At 39.0% G+C, this 17,791-nt stretch overlaps 1 protein-coding gene and 1 pseudogene across 18 annotated transcripts in view; one reads left to right on the top strand and one right to left on the bottom strand.

Annotated features, from left to right (window-relative positions):
• The window catches only part of KLF8 (KLF transcription factor 8), a 383,409-nt gene that overhangs the window by 36,639 nt on the left and 328,979 nt on the right, over positions 1-17,791 (bottom strand). For 15 of the 18 annotated variants that reach the window (NR_136705.1, NR_136704.1, NM_001324105.1 and 12 more), the window contains one exon: positions 4,589-4,662. The exons of the other annotated variants lie outside the window; for them this stretch is intronic. Coding sequence is in view for 13 of the 15 variants with exons in the window: in NM_001324104.1 (NP_001311033.1) it covers positions 4,589-4,662 (74 nt within the window). In the remaining 2 variants the exon portion in view is untranslated. The remainder of the gene's footprint in view (positions 1-4,588; positions 4,663-17,791) is intronic. 18 annotated transcript variants of the gene reach the window in all.
• Positions 11,481-12,003, top strand: RPL23AP83 (ribosomal protein L23a pseudogene 83; annotated as a pseudogene).

Here is a 17,791-nt window from a genome sequence, read left to right as displayed (position 1 = left end):
TTGAATGTTGCCTTTTCCAAAACCACCCATGGTTGACCCTGCCCCCTATCCTGTGCCCATAAAAACCCAGGCTCAGCTGGCAGAAAGAGGAGAAGCAGCTAAACGTTGGAGATTATAGTTGGATGTTGGAGAGAAGTGGCTTGACTTCAGAGGGACAGCTTGATGGCATAGCTTTGGAGAGGAGTCCAGATGGGGACAGCTGGAATCCAGGGGAAGATTACCTTCCCACTCCATCCCCTTTTCAGCTCCCCCTCCCACTGATAGCCACTTTGATCAGCAATAAAATCTCCCACATTAACCACCTTTGATTCATTGTGTAACCTCATTCCTCCTGGATGCCAGACAAGAACTTCAGTGTGGGTGCAGAAGGCTGTCACACTGACCCTCTGGTGAGCTGTTAATGCTTAAGCCATCTGCAAACAGCAAAGCTAAAAGGGTACTGTAACACTCCTTCTGGGGCTTCAAGGGTCGCAGGCACCCCGCCCCCCGGACTCTGCTGTGGGGTGCGCATAGAGTTTTGCTCCTGCCGGTGCCCAAAGGCACTCACCCCAGCTCCTGCACCCACTGACCTGTGATTCCCCTCCCACAAGGGGTAGAACACAGCAGGTTTAAGTGAGTGGAATTCGCCCCTGCTAGTGCCAAAGCGCCAGCTAGGTCCAGCACCAGTGCACTCCAGTTCCCACCCACGAAGGGGTCAAGGAAATATCCTGCTTCAATGCTACCTAAAACACAATACAGATTCAATAAAATCCCTATCAAAATACCAATGACATTCTTGTCTGGGCGCAGTGGCTCATGTCTGTAATCTCAACACTTTGGGAAGCAAAGTGTTGCTTTGTCAGATTGTTCACTGTTGACACACTTTGGGAACACAAAGAGGTGGGTGGATCACTTCAGGTTAGGAGTTCAGGACCAGTCTGGTTAACATGGTGAAACCCCGTCTCTGCCAAAAAAAAAAAAAAAAATTAGCTGGGCATGGTGGCACATGCCCATAGTCCCTGCTACTTGGGAGGCTGAGGCACAAGAATTGCTGGAAGCCAGGAGGTGAAGGTTGCAATGAGCCAAGATTGTGCCACTGCACTCCGGCCTGGGCAACAGAGTGAGACAACATCTCAAAAAAAAAAAAAAGAAAAAGAAAAAAAGACATTATGTACAAAAATAGAAAAACGAAATCCGAAAATTTATATCAAACCACAAATACCGAGAATAGCCTGTTATCCTAAGCAAAAAGAACAAAACTGAAGGAATCACATTACCTGACTTCAAGTTATACTATAGAGCTATAGTAACCAAAATGGCATTGTATTGGCATGAAAACAAACATACAGTGCAATGGAACAAAATAGAGAACCCAGAAATAAAGCCATACATCTACAAAGAATTCATTTTTTACAAAGGTGCCAGGAACATACATTGGGGAATGCGTGGTCTCTTCAATAAATGGTGCTGGGAAACCTGGATATCCATATGCAGAAAAATGAAACCAGAACCCTATCTCTAACCATATACAAAAATTAAATTAAAATGGATTAAAGAGTTAAATCTAAGACCTCAAACTATGAAACTGCTGCAGAAAATATTTGGGAAAATCTCCAGGACATTGGTCTGGGCAAAAATTTCTTGAGCAATACCCCACAAACACAGGCAACCAAAGCAAACAGGAACAAATGGGATCACATCAATTAAAAAGCTTCTGCAAAGCAAAGGATTCAATCAACAAAGTGAAGAGACAACCCATAGATTGGGAGAAAATATTTGTAAACTACCCATCTGACAACAGATTAATCACCAGAATATATAATGAGCTCAAACAACTCAATAGAAAAAAGTCTAATAATTCAATTTAAAAATGGGTAAAACATTTGAATAGACATTTCTCAGAAGAAGACATACAAATGGCAAACAGGTATATGAAAAGGTGCTCAACATCAGTGATCATCAGAGAAATGTAAATCAAAACTACAATGAGATATTTAAAATGGCTTTTATCCAAGAGTTAGGCAATAATAAATGCTGGTGAGGATGTGGAGAAAAGAAAACACTTGTGCACTGTTGGTGGGAATGTAAATTAGTACAGCCACTATGGAGAACAATTTGGAGGTTCCTCAAAAAAATTGAAAATTGAGCTACTATATGATCCAGCAATCCCACTGCTGGGTATATACCAAAAAGAAAGGAAATCAGTATATCAAAGAGATATCTGCACTTCCATGTTTGTTGCAGCACTATTCACAATAGCTAAGATTTGGAAGCAACCTAAGTATTCATCAACAGATGAATGGATAAAGAAAATGTGTTACAGATACACAATGGAGTACTATTCAGCCATAAAAAGAATGAGATCCTGTCATTTGCAATAACATGGGTGGAACTGGAGATTATTATGTTCAGTGAAATAAGTCAGGTATAGAAAGACAAATATCACATGTTCTTATTTATTTGTGGGATCTAAAAATCGAAACCATTGAACTCATGGACATAGAGAGTAGAAGGATGGTTACCAGAGGCTGGGAAGGGCAGTGGGGTGTTGAGGAGGAGGTGGTCATGGTGAATGTGTACGAAAAAATAGTTAGAAATTGTCTGGGTGCAGTGGCTCTCTCCTGTAATCCCCAGCACTTTGGGAGGCCGACATGGGCAGATCACCTGAGGTCAGGATTTTGAGACCAGCCTGGCCAACATGGTGAAACCCTGTCTCTACTAAAAATACAAACAATTAGCTGGGCGTGGTGGCATGTGCCTGTAGTCCTAGCTACTCAGGAGGCTGAGGCAAGATAATTGCTTGAATCTGGGAGGCGGAGGTTGCAGTGAGCTGAGAAGCCACCACTGTACTCCAGCCTGGGCAACAGAGAGAGACTCCATCTCAAAAACAAAAAAAAGTTGGAAATAACAAATAAGACCTACTATTTGATAGCATGATAGGGTGACTAGAGTCAATAATAACTTAATTGTACACTTAAAAAATATCTAAAAGAGTGTAATTGCATTGTTTGTAACACAAAGGATAAATGCTGCAGGGATGGATACCCCATTCTCCATAATGTGATTATTTCACATTGCATGCCTGTATGAAAACATCTCAATGTATCCCATAAATATATACGCCTACTATGTACCTACAAAAATTAAAAATAAGGCCAGGTACGGTGGCTCACACCTATAAACCCAGCACTTTGGGAGGCCGAGGTGGGCGGATCATGAGGTCAGGAGTTCGAGACCAGCCTAGCCAATATGGTGAAACCCTGTCCCTACTAAAAATACAAAAATTAGCCGGGCATGGTGGTGCGTGCCTGTAGTCCCAGCTACTCAGGAGGCTGAGGCAGAAGAATAGCTTGAACCTGGAAGGCAGAGGATGCAGTGAGCCAAGATTGTGCCACTGCACTCCATCCTGGGTGACAAAGCGAGACTCCGTCTCAAATAAATAAATAAATAAATAAATAAATATATAAAAATTCAAAAAATAAAATAAAAGTTGAAATTATAACAAAAAGATTCCTAAATGTAACCAACTTTATCTGATGAATTAAATAAAGAAACAGACAAGTATTGTATATACAACACTGTATACTCAAGTCTATAGGTGATTTAAGGATTTTCAAGGTTAATTTTGACTGTATTTGAGTTTCACTCATGCAGTGAATTTGCAACCCCAAGAAAGACGGGACTTCAACATCTAGCACAGAGCCCTGGGACATAAAATCCAGATAACCTGTTTCGAATCCTAATTCTTGGAGTGTTCAAGGCCAGTTTTATTTTCCATCAAATGGGGAAACTAAGAATAATGATGGTTAATTTTATGTGACAACTTGGCTGGGCTACAGTGCCCAGATATTTGGTCAAACATTATTCTAGATGTTTCTGTGAAGGTATTTTTTTGGATGAGACCAACATTTAAAACATTGTACTTTAAATAGGGCACATTACTCTCTATAATGTGAGTGGTCCTCAACCAATCAGTTGAAGACCTTAGTTTTTAAAACAAAGACTGTCCTCCATAGAGCAAGAAAGAATTCTTCTCACAATCTGCTTTTGGACTCAAACTGTAACTCCTTCTGAATCTCCAGCCTGCCGGCCTACCCCTGATGGGGTTTTGGACTTGCCATGCCTCCACAATCTAATGAGCCAATTTCTTGAAATCTCTCTCTCTCTCTCTCTCCATGTACATATATGCATACACACACACATACACCATACACACATATCCTGTTGGTTCTGTTTCTCTGGAGAATACTAATTAATACACTGTTCAACAGGATTATGGTGAAGATTAAATAAGACAATGCATTTAATCTTCATCCTATCTGAAATATGAAATAGTGCTATATAAATAGTTGCTATTGTCTACTAAAGGTCTACTCTTGTCTTTATAGCCTTGATTCCAGAGGCTATGTTTCTTTTAGGCCAGATCTACTCCCCAGCTGACTATGAAACCAAGGCATTCATATACTTTCTAGAAATATGTCTTCCTTCACCTCTTCTCAATCCCCAAACATGTTATAGAAAGAAAAATGAGTTTAAATTCTGTAATCACTACCAGGTATTCAATACTATTATGGCCCAATATTAGCACCCTATTTTCCTGATAACTGACCTGCTTGAATACCTGCATTGAGCCACCTTCTGAATTAAGTTGGACCTCCAAGTTGTTTATGAGTTTATCCATATCTGGAAAAGAGAAAAGGAAAAGACAACTTTCAGAATAAAATCTAACCCACTATATGCATAAATATGCCATTAATGTTATGTGTGTTCTATGACCTTTATCTTTCAGTGCTTACCAGATACTGATAAGTCATTGAAACCTTCTGATTTATTTTACTCATCAAGATGGACCTAACTTTTCCCCAATAATATTAGCTGCTCCCCTCCACCAAACTGCATGCAGGTAATCTGTTTCTTCCTATTTCTCCAACATGCTCTGCCTTCAGAGGAACATCAGTATAGCTACAGTTTTCAGTATTCTACCTTCCTGGTCTAGTTCTTGCTTGAAGGAGTTCCAAGCTCCTATATATATATTTACCCGAGTGAACTTATTTACACATCAAGGCCAAATCTCTCTAGAGACGTATTTTATCTGTCTACGTCTCTTAAATCTGCAAGCCAGGTGGGGTAATAAAAACAGTTTTCTCTTTCTTCTTTAGTTTTTCCTCTTAAAAAAAGGAATTAGTGTCTTAATTCAGCTGCCTTAAACCATCAGTCATTCATACTAGAAGCACCTACTAGCTTTCTTCCTCAACCAGATTTTCTGGGAGTTAGATGTGCAGCACTCACATCCCATAATCTTTGGCAAGGCCTTTTTTTTCCTAAGCCACAACTTGTCCATCTATGATTAAAAGATTTCAGACTATCCTCTGCAGAACCCTAAGGCTTCCATGGAACTTGGGGGTGGGGTTTGTTAAATTAAGGTTAGCTTAAAGCTTCCTCCTTACATATTTCAAGTTCAGCCTAAAGGTTTCCCCATCCATAATGAACCATAACCTAACTGGATGTGTAGACAGTGTAATCTACTGTTGCGCCAATCACAGAGTTTCAGCCAATTACAGGCAGTCAACAACTCAAAGTGTTTGAATAAGGCAAATACTGAGATATAACCAATCCAGCTGTTTCTGTACCTCACTTCCATTTTCTGTCCATAAATATTATCTGACTACATGGCAGCCCCAGAGTTGCTCTGAATCTATTATTTCTTCTGGGGGCTGCCTGATTCATGAATCATTCTTTGCTCGATTAAACTGTTAAGTGTAATTTGTCTAAAGTTTCTCTTTTAACAGGTTAATGGAGGAACTGTAGTAAGTAATAAGAATAGTAGAAGCCAGAATTAAGAAAACTGACTTCCAATAGAATCTGAGCTCCTTGCAGGCAGATACTTTCATCTTTGTTTTTTTCACTAATGTATTCCAAGGCCCTAGAACATTGCCTGGTACATGGTAGGTGTTTAATCACATTTTCGAAGGTTTTTGATGACAGTGACAGAAAAGGAGAGTGAGGGAATGTGTTTTCTCAAGTACAGAAATTGGAAAAGGGTGGAAAAGAACGAAAGAAAATTAGAGAATTTATGCATGAAAGATGCCTGAGGTGTAATTAACTATGAAGTGAGAGGTGGTAGAGAGGGTAGCTAAGCTTTTTCTGATTTCTAAGACAGGAAAAGGAGGTGTGATGGTGGAAAAAGAATGTGAGGTCAGGTAACTCTCATACAGCCCACAGGGGGGCACCAAAACGCCAGGAGAGCTTTCTTTGTTGCTGCCAGAACCATGCGTAGGAGTGGAGAAGATTCGATTCTCCCTCTGCATTCACACAACACCTTCAACAGGCTTCATTATTTCTAGCAAGTACAACTTAAGACAGCCAACTCCAATCTGTTCTTCGATTCCTATGGATTAAGAGACAGCAGAGTTGAGGAAGCAGAGTGATTCTGAGAGGCTATATTAGCTTCTATGAACCTCAGTTTCTTCACCTGCCAAAAGAGGGGGTAACACGGTATTGCCTTAACAGAGTTAATGTGAACATTCCATGTTAATACATTCATATGCCATGTAATGACGTTTCAGTCAACGATGACCCACAGATACGACACTGTTCTTTTTTTTTTCATACTTTAAGTTCTAGGGTACACGTGCACAACGTGCAGGTTTGTTACATATGTATCCATGTGCCATGTTGGTGTGCTGCACCCATTAACTCGTCATTTACATTAAGTATATCTCCTAATGCTATCCCTCCGCTCTCCCCCCACCCCATGACAGGCCCCAGTGTGTGATGTTCCCCTTCCTGTGTCCAAGTGTTCTCATAGATACGACAATGATTCTATACAATTATAACAGAGCTAAAAAATTCCTATCACCTAGTGATATCATACCCGCTGTAATGTCACAGTGCAAAGCATTACTCATGTATTTGTGGTGATGCTGGTGTAAACAAATCGACTGTGCTGTCAGTCAATATAATTATATACAGTATGTAATACTTAACAATGATAACAAATGACTATGTTATTGTTTTCTGTATTTACTACACTATACATTCTATCATCATTTTAGAGTGTACTCCTTCTACTTACTAAAAAAAAGTTAATTATAAAACATTCTCAGGCAGGTCTTTCAGGAGGTATCCCAGAAGAAGGTATTGTTGTCATACCAGACGGCAGCTCCATGCATGTTATTACCCCTGAAGATCTTCCAGTGGGACAAGATATAAGGTAGAAGACAGTGATATTGATGATCCTGACCCTCATAGGCCTAGGCTGATGTGTCTTTGTGTCTTAGTTTTTAACAAAAACTTGTAAAAAGCAAAAAAAAAATAATTAACAATAGAAAAAAGCTTATAAAATAAGAATACAAAGAAATAAAATATTTTTGTACAGCTGTACAGGATTTGTGTTTTAAGCTAAAAAAGTTATAGTAAGCTAAGGTTAATTTATAAGAAAAAATTGTTTATAAATTTAGTGTAGCCTAGTGTACACTGTTTAAAAAGTCTAAAGTAAGGTACAGTAATGTCCTAGGCCTTAACATTCACTCGCTACTCACTAAGTGACTTACTCAGAGCAACTTCTAGTTCTGCAAGTTTCCTTCATGTTAAGTGGTGTTCAGGTACACCATTTTAAAATCTTTTATGCCATATTTTAACTGTGCCTTTTCTATGTTTAGATACACAAATATACACCATTATGCTACAACTGCCTACAGTGTCCAGTACAGTAACATGCTATAGAAGTTTGTAGCCTAGGAGCAATAAGCTATACCATATAGCCTAGGTTGTAGTAGATTATACCATCTAGGTTTATGTTAGTACATTCTATGATATTCACACAATGTAAAAATTGTCTAAGGATGTATTTTGCAGAACATATCCCCTTCATTAAGGGATGAATAACTGTACATGTAAATACACTTAAAACAAATCCTGGCATATAGAACACTCTCAGTTAGCTATTATCACCACCATTATTATTGTTGATTATCAGAATCTTGAACTCTGGCCCAAAGAATCTGTCCTGTGTATCAAATAGGACTTTTATACCCCATGAGTTCACAAACCTGCTCCACCTCTTATATTTCTAATCTTAATTTCTAGCACCACCATAAACCCAGTCTATCAGTCTAAAAACCTAGGGGTCAGCCACCTTTGACTCCTCTCTCCCTATCTTCAGCCAGTTGGTTATCAGCTATAATAATTCTCCTGCAGATATATCTCTTAAATCTAGCCCTTCATCATTTCATAGTCACTTCCTTCCCCTTCTGGTCAATACTCCACATTGCTCTCAAAGTGTAGTAAAACATGTGGGCTCTGGAGTGAGTGCCTAGAATCACATTCTGATTCTGTGACTTCTTAACAGTAAGAAGTTGGGCAAAGTTTTTCCAGCCTCCTGTGTCTGTTTTCTCATCTGTAAAATGGGAATAATTATAGTACCAGGTCACAGAATTACTATGAGGATGTATCAAGTTGATATATGTTCAAGTATTTACAACAGTACCTGGCACAAAGAGGAACTGTCCGTTTCCTTCACCACCAGGTGAGCCCTTCAATAGTTACCTAGTCTTGTTCCTTTTTTTGTATCCCTATCTTTTAGCAGAGCATCTCCTATACACTATGTACTAATGTCCAGTGAATAAAGGAATGAATGATCAGGGAAATGAGGAAAGATAGAGCCATATCCAGAACTATAACTGCCCATCTTCAAAAGCTTTAATAGCAACAATCAAGGAGCCTGAAAAATACTTCTTGGCCCTCCTATATCACAAATATTTTAGTAAAATAGTATAAGAGGGAGAGCTGACAATTAATAATGTCTCAGCCATTTCTGGCTAGTGCCCTCACCCAGAAAACAGCCAAATGGAATAGCCATTAGGTAATCCTGGTCAACCTTCTAAATATTGGTAGGAATGACTATAAGGAAAGATACTGGGAAGGTATATAACCTCCTTTTTTAAATTTAATTTTAAAAAATATTTACCCAGGCAAAATTGAAAACTGAAGAAAATTAAGGCCCACAGAAGGTCTTAAAGAAGGCTCTGTTTTTTTTTGAAGAGGGATTTATGAGCCTCTTGCTCTTCTCTAGAGTTGGAATTTCTGCTCTAAGTGCCTAAGAGAGACCAGACAGCTGCACAAAAGCTGTCAGGGAAGTGGTAAGGAAATATACAAAAGGGGGTTATAGTATATATGGCCTGGGCCATTGAGATGTGAATCACTCAGGCAGGAGGACACCAGAAATGCAAATTACCAACTTGAGGTAATAACCATTATTCTGCTTGGATTGGCTCTTCAAGCCTTTGTGTCTACAAGCTGGACTTTCTGGTCCTTCTCCTAAGGGCATGGGTCCTATAGAAGGAAACAGAGGAGGAAGAAATAGGGAAGAAGATTGAGTCCCATCGCCAGTGGGTCAATGTCTCATATATGCAGGACATCACAAACCACATTCCAGGTACTGTGACTACAGGAGTTTGATAAAATTATGTAACTTTTGTCATGTCCCCAAGTTTATATTATACAAAAGTGGCATTTCCTATAATGATCAGCTTGTCTTACAAAAGTGAACAGTGCCTCCAAGGAACTGGAGCAGGTGCTGGCTAAGAAGAAAACATCCCATCCTTTGGCCAACCCTGAAAGGGAAAAATGCCTAGAGATAAAGTGACAAGGGGTGCAAAGCAGAGTCATTAGAACCTACAACTAAAAAGAAAGCAGAGCACTGGAAACCCTGACCCGGGCCTAAGAAAGACCTTGTGCTTTGACAGGATACAGCATTTGGACAATTCAAATAATGTCTTATATACATCAACATAGCTTTACAGTAAGGAAATACACAGCTTTCATATAATTTCCATTTCACACATAATAAATTTGGAGGCCTGACATCACATAGTTTAGAAGTGCTAGAATCAGAACTGAAACTTTAGTCCTCTGACTCAAATTATAGTGCTCCCCAACCATTTTCTAATACCTCAAATCTGGTGAGCACCTTCTTTCTGAAAAACTGTCTGCTAAAAGAAGAACACATTTAAGGACAACACAACTAATCACTTAGGAAGATCTTAAGCAGATATCATTCATCTTTGGCCTCTAACCTATAAGAAGTACTGGAACTATTTAAAAATAAAAATCAATGCTTAAGGGTTTTGAGAAAGACTACAGTACACATTTATTTTCAGACAATTTTATTGCACATCTTCCAGAGGAATTAAGAGTAGTGTTGCAATGGGCCTTTGGGAAAGCCTTCAGGATATCTCTGCAGCATGACATTAATAATGGAATGGTGATAAAAAGAACTATAACAGCCGACATTCATTGAGTGCTTACTTTGTGTCAGACACTGTTCTGTTTATATCTATTTATCTATCTATAGATATCTTCATTTAATCCTTACAACCCTAGTAGTAGGCACCATTATTTCCTCATTTTAAAAAGGAAGAAAGAGGGCCTGGCACAGTGGCTCATGCTTGTAGTTCCAGCACTTTGGGAGGCCAAGGCGGGAGGATAACTTGAGCTCAGGAGTTTGAGAATAGCCTGGGCAACATAGTGAGACCCCATCTCTACCAAAAATTTAAAAATTAGCCAGGCATGTTGTTGTGTGAGGCTGAGGCAAGAGGATCACATGAGACCAGAAGGTAGAGGCTACAGTGAGCTATGATTGTGCCACCGCAGTCTAGCCTGGGTGCAGAGAGACCCTGTTTCAAAAACAGAAAATAAAAATTAAATTGAATTGAATGAAATTTAAAAATGAGGAAACTAAGGCACAGAGAGATGAAGTTGCTTACCACCAAATCACCAAGTTAGTAAACAGCAGAGAGGAGATTTAAACCTCAGTAGTCTGGAGACATAAAGCAGCTATAATGAAATTACCTGGGTACCAGTAGGATCTTCCAGCTTCTGTTTTAAGCAGATTCCATAGCAGAGAATAAATGGTTGCTATAAACCAACTACTTAATAAAGGGAGATTGCAAAAGCCTCCAATTTATCTCATTTCCCCCAAACAGGCTCACACCTGTCACCATTGGAAAACTCAACCTCACCTTCCAGTTGTAGCACCTCAGCAGGCAGCTCTGTATGACTTTTCTATTCAAGAGTTTTGGGCCGGGCGTGGTGGCTCATGCCTGTTATCCTAGCACTTTTGGAGGCCGTGGCAGGTGGATCATGAGGTCAGGAGATCGAGACCATCCTGGCCAACATGGTGAAACCCTGTCTCTACTGAAAATATAAAAATTAGCTGGGAGTGGTGGTGCATGCCTGCAATCCCAGCTACTTGGGAGGCTGAGGCAAGAGAATCGCTTCACAGGAGATGGGGAGGTTGCAGTGAGCTGAGGTCGCACCATTGCACTCTAGTCTGGGAGACAGAGTGAGACTCCGTCTCAAAAAAAAAAAAAAAAAAAAAAAAAAGCAAGAGTTTCAACATACACAAAAGCTGGAGAGTGACTTGAGGTACCCAGTCTAAATTATAAGAACCACCACCACAGCAGGTACTCAGAAGTAGCTGTAAAACAGAAAACCCCGATAAGATGGCGCGGAAAGGGAAGAAGGAAGCTCCTGCCCCTCCTAAAGTCAAAGCCAAAGCAAAGGCTTTGAAGGCCAAGAAGACAGTGTTGAAAGGTGTCCACAACCACACACACAAAAAAGAAGATCCACACACCCCTCACCTTCCAGCGGCCCAAGTCACTGCGACTCTGTAGGCAGCCCAAATATCCTCGGAGGAGTGCCCCCAGGAGAAACAAGCTTGACTACTATGCTATCACCAAGTTTCCGCTGACCACTGTGTCGGCCATGAAGAAGATAGGAGACAACAGCACACTTGTGTTCATTGTGGATGTTAAAGCCAACAAGCACCAGATCAAACAGGCTGTGAAGAAGCTCTATGATACTGATGTGGCAAATCAACACCCTGATTTGACCTGATGGAGAGAAGAAGGCATACGTTCGACTGGCTCCTGATTACAATGCTTTGGATGTTGCCAACAAAATTGGGATCATCTAAACTGAGTCCAGCTGACTAATTCTAAATTTACGTGTATCTTTCCAGCAGAAAGAAAAAACAAACAAACCAGAAAACCCCTGTAGTTTTCCTGCTTAGCTTACCTGGAATGAGAGAAAAGGAAGTGGGGGCAAACTAGGATGTTAAAAAGAACAGAATTTAAGAGGAGAAAACATATTGCCACAAAAATAAATGAAGGCTGGCAGCACATAACATGTATGAACGACAGTGACAGAAAGACTGAAATCTAGTATTACATGATTACTACAACAGCCAGCTAAACTTGAAGTAGTGAAGTCATATAAGGTATTGAAAATATAAGGTGATAAGAAATACCAGAAAAGGGATTTATAACTTTGGGCAAGTCATTTGACCTTTCTATGTCTGTTTTCTCCTTTGAAAAATGGGAATACACCAGTGTAGCCCTCCCCACTCATGGCTGTTAGGAAGACCAATCATGATAACACATGTAAAAATATCTTATAAGATGTAAAGATAAAATAGCCATATAAGTTTTTAGGATTACTTCTGTCAGAAAAATTTTAAAAGTACATAAATACGGTCACATACTTAAGATGTAAACCATTTCCAGTAACAAACTTATGTATGATTTTTGATATCTTTATCTCCATTCTCCTATGAGTTCATGTTCTACAATATCACCTGCATAGCCTCCAGTGCTTTCAGCCAGTTGCGCTTCTCTCAGACGCTGATGTTAAGCTACATTTTCTTTTCCACAAAAAGAAAATAAATACGCCAGAATGAAAAATTACCTTGGAATGTGCTAGAGATTAAGATTCCTCATTCTGGAAAAAGATGAAAGCTAAGAGGAATTATGATAAAAGTCTAAAACTGGAAATACAAGTGGAGATGAAGCTCAATAAACTCCAGGCCTGCATTTTAGTTCTAGTTTAATCAGTAAATTGTTGTGTGACCTTGAGCAAGTCTCGTCACTTTATGTAGAAAGTGGAAATAACTCCTCATTCACCTCACAAGATACTTGTAAGAATCAATTGACAAAACAGATTTAAAGGTATTATAGAAACATAATCTCAGATGCCTAGAACCAGTCCCCTTGCCTTGAATCTCCATTGAACAAATATATTTATGTTTAGACAATAATTAATCTTATATGCAATAAGCAGATAAAACTCTTACTATTAAAGAAGGCCATGTGAAACAATGGGAAAATCATTTAACTAGGATCTGGGAGACTTGTATTCTAGATCAGGCTTCACTGTTGTCTAGCAGTGTCATTTTGAGTAAACTACTTAGTCCTTTTCAGATCCCTTCCAGTTTATAACATTCTATGATATATGATTTTATTACAAGGACATAGATGGAAAATCCATAATAATCATCTCAGGTTTCTGCTTAACCTGTGAGATTGATGTCAAGAAGGATTAAGTTTTCTACAAACCATCAGGTAAACTTGAGTCTCATTCCAATGGCATTTAAAAAATTACTATGAATGACTGGGTGCGGTGGCTCATGCCTGTAGTCCTAGCACTTTGGGAGGCCAAGGCGGGTGGATCACTTGAAGTCAGGAGTTTGAGACCAGCCTGACCAACATGGTGAAATGCCATCTCTACTAAAAAATACAAAAATTAGCCAGGTGTGGTGGCACATGCCTGTAGTCCCAGCCACTTGGTAGGCTGAGGCACGAGTCACTTTAACTCAGGAGGTGGAAGTTGCAGTGAACTGAGATCATGCCATTGCACTCCACTCTGCATGAAAGAGCGAGGCTCCATCTCAAAAAAAAATTATGGGTGATTTTAAATGCATACAAAAGTAGACAAAAACCCCATGCGCCTACTCTCAGATTCAATGATTTTCAGCTAATGGTAAACCTTGTTTCATCTGTACCTCAACCCACTCCCCCTACCTCAATGTATATTTTTATGCAAATCCCAGATATATCATTTCATGGCATTTCTTTTTTTAATTTTAAAGTTTGAGGTACATGTGCAGGACGTGCAGGTTTGTTACATAGGTAAACGTGTGCCACACTTCATGGCATTTCTAATGGGACATATTTAATTTTCACAATTGCCCTGTGAGGTAGGTATTACTGTTGATCCCACTATACACATGAAGAAATAGAGTCAATGGGATTAAATAATCCCAAGGTCACATAAACTGGTAAATTATTGAGCTGGGATTGGAATCCAGGTATGATGTTTGATACCAAAGCTCTTTTTTTTTCCTTAAAGTACTTGCTACTACCCTGTACTTTGAAATAGTTTGTTAGAGTTGAAAATAATAATAATGAAGGTGTTTTTATATCTTTGCAGCAAACTCTAATATTGAATATATGTACAGAGTATTAAAAGATTCCCACTAATTATTATGTTAATTATAAAACAAAACCTCTAGGAATTACAACTCCAGCATGGCACTAAGGGACAAAGAGCCACAGCAGCAAAAACTCATTGCTCTGAATCATTATGTAACATCTCATGTGATCCTCTTCATTACTTCATACCTTTATTTCATGCAACAATCTCCTCCAATAAATTAAACATGGTGGTAGTGTGGCAACCACAAATAATTTGTAACAATACAATTGGTCCTCATCCATGTTTTGTGCAACAGGTACTTAAGGGAAGAGACCTTGGCTCTTGAATAACTTTTCTACTCACTGCCTGAGCAGTGGCTCAGGAGCACCAAGACAAGGCATCCTAGAAGAGTCTTGGACCATTTCAGTTTGTAGAGCTCCAGAAAGTGAGGTTAATGCAGTAGCCAATTCAACGCTACACATCTATTCTAGGATCTAGCTACAAAATTAAGGAATAAGTATGTTATTATTCTTTTAGCACCAACTGTTATGTATATTTATCAGAACTAGTTTAACAAACAAGAAATAAATATATTCACATCACATCCCCGCCCATTCTAACTGAAGATGAAACAACCGCATCATTGAACGTATAGGAAGAAACAAGAGATGGAATAATTAGCTCCAAATAATCAAACTTAAATATATGCTCAGCATCATGTAGACCTTTCTGAAGATACTGTACTTTATTTGTGATGTACAATATTTCAAGAAAAATGGCAAATAGAAGAGAAATGCAGAAAAAAATGAAAGAAACTAGAGAAATAACCAATTTTTTTAAAAGAAAACAAAATGGAGCTAGATCAAGAAATGTAGATGATTACATCTGGCAAAAAGGGGGACAGGGAAAAAGAAAGCTGGCCTGATAATTGTCTTCAAAGGCACATTTAGGTATTTGGAGAAAGTAGAACTACTATGTCATTTACAGGACATCATGGTTAACTTAAAGGGGAACTTTCTGATGATAATCAAGTCTTTACCAAGACCCTACTAAATAGTCAACACTGTAGTAGATATTATGTGGGAAGGAGGGAGGAGGTAATACCAGAAGGAAGAAAACTTCATGGTCTCTGGCCTCTATCCTCAGTAAATTTGCAGTCTAGGTCAGATAGAGAAAACTGGCAGCCCACTGCAGATGTTGGCCTGGTTCTCATAGTGATGTTAAAGATTAAAACAGAAACATCTAACAACCTTTCAAATGCAGATTTCATGTTTTAAGAAAAAAATCCTATTTCTTGCTTTTCTAAAAAAGCTGAGAGATTTTATAATACAGAGTGTACATTGGCACAAGGGAAAAATTAGCTGGAGATGATCAACAGCTGTCCCCTTTAGACAGGGCATGCTTTTCTCATTTTACTGGGCCCTGGAGATTTAAGTTTGAGATCCCAGGTCCGTGTGATGAGAAACAATTATGCATAAAATAATAGCAATCAAATATTACAAGATAATAGATGCTGCATTGCTGGATTATGATTTGAGGCTATGAGCAATAATTGGGAGAGGAGGAGATTACTGAGAATGGAATAGTCAGAGAAAATTTCAAATAAATGGTTTGCTTTGAGGTGGGCTTTGAAGAACTACGACAGTCAAGAAGAAACAGAAAGGAAATCCAGACGAGAGGAAAAGTAAACTGCATACTCCATGAAGGCAAGGGTCCCACCTAAACTGATAGTTTACCTAACCTAAAGTGGTAAGTTTACCACTATCACCTCAGCTTCTAGCATGATGCTTCCAACTTTGTAGACACCCAGTAAATGACTGTGGAGTGAAGGAGAGTAACATAATTTTTAAAAGTGTTTTAAGGAATATATCCTTGCAGTGGTCCTCAGAGTAGAGAGGGCAGAAAGAATCAAAGTAGAACTAGAAGCTATTGGAATATTCTATGAGTACTGCGGTAAGAGCTTACATAGGTGCCATAATCTCAATATCTAGACTAGGGGTCAGACAGGTTAAGGCCACCTAGGCCAGATGAGTAATGTGGTGAACAAAAAATACAAGTACTGTTTTAAAGGGGAGGGAGGGAGAGGCTCATCAACTCTAGGCAATTATTGCCAAGAGAGAATGCTGGTTCAGTATCTTCTGATTAGTCAAAAGAAACTGGAATTGAAGAATTTTTGTTTTCTTTTGAGACGGAGTTTCACTCTTGTTGCCCAAGCTGGAGTGCAATGGTGTGATCTCGGCTCACTGCAACCTCCGCCTCCCAGGTCCAATCGATTCTCCTGTCTCAGGTTCCTGAGTAGCTGGGATTACAGGCATGCACCACCACACCCGGCTAATTTTGTATTTTTAATATAGATGGGGTTTTACCATGTTGGTCAAGCTGGTTTCGAACTGCTGACAGGTGATCCTCCTGCTTTGGCCTCCCAAAGTCCTGGGATTACAGGCATGAGCCACTGCGCCCGGCCTAGAATTCTAGAATTTTAAGGGAAATCTGATTTTGAAATATTGGCAATCAACCAACTTTTAAAAGTGTGGGACTAGGCAATTTGACACACTGCTATGAACTGACTTGTGTTGTGTCCACTCTCCAAAAAAAAATTAATAGGTAGAAGACCTAACCTAGTGACTATATTTGAAGATAGGGCCTTTAGGAAAGAAATTAAGGTTAAATGAGCTCATAAAGGTGAGGTTCTGATCTGATAGGATTAGTGTCTTTCTAAGAAGACACACCAGAGAGAATTCACTCTTTCTCCTCCCATTTGTACAAAGATCACATGAGTACAAAGTGAAAAGGTGGCCTTCTACAGGTCAGAAAGAGAGTCCTCATGAAAATCTGACCATGTTGGCACCCTGATCATGGACTCCCAGCCTCCAGAACTGTGAGAAAATACATTTCTGTTGTTTAAGCCACTCAGTCAATGGTATTTTGTTATGGCAGCCTGAGCTCTCTAATGCACTGCTTACAAAAGTTTTTATTGTTATTACAAATAACACTGCAAAAGTTTGGAAATAACTTAAAGATCAATCAACAGAAAACTGTTTAAAAATTTGTGGCTCATGCATATAGTAAAAACCTATGCAGTCATAAAAAAGAATGAGGCATTTAAAAAATGTGCATATATGAAAATATCTCCAAAGTATATTTTTAAGTAGACAAGCAAGTTGTAGAGAACAATATGCAGAATGTGTTACTATCTGTGTATAAAAGGTGAAGGGGATATATATATACACACACACACACAAACACACACACACACACACATATATATATAATAGAAACTACCTCATAAGGTTGCAGTGAAGAATAAGTGTGTTAATTTTGTAAACACTTAGAAGAAGGCATGAAAGTGAAGTAAGCAGTGAGAAAATATAGTTGTTGTGGTACTTACATATATACTAATATTATATATGTATTATATATAATATGAGCTCATCTAACCTTAATTTCTTTCCTAAAGGCCCTATCTCCAAATACAGTCACAAGCTTAGGTATTAGGTCTTCAATGTATGAATTTTTTTGGGGGGGATGGGGGGGTCACAATTCAGTTCATGTCAGTATG

This window comes from Homo sapiens, chromosome X (genome assembly GCF_000001405.40).
Source record: "Homo sapiens chromosome X, GRCh38.p14 Primary Assembly".
NCBI lineage: Eukaryota > Metazoa > Chordata > Mammalia > Primates > Hominidae > Homo > Homo sapiens.
The sequence above is the reverse complement of the archived record's forward strand: the minus strand, read 5'-3'. Positions and strand labels throughout refer to the sequence as shown.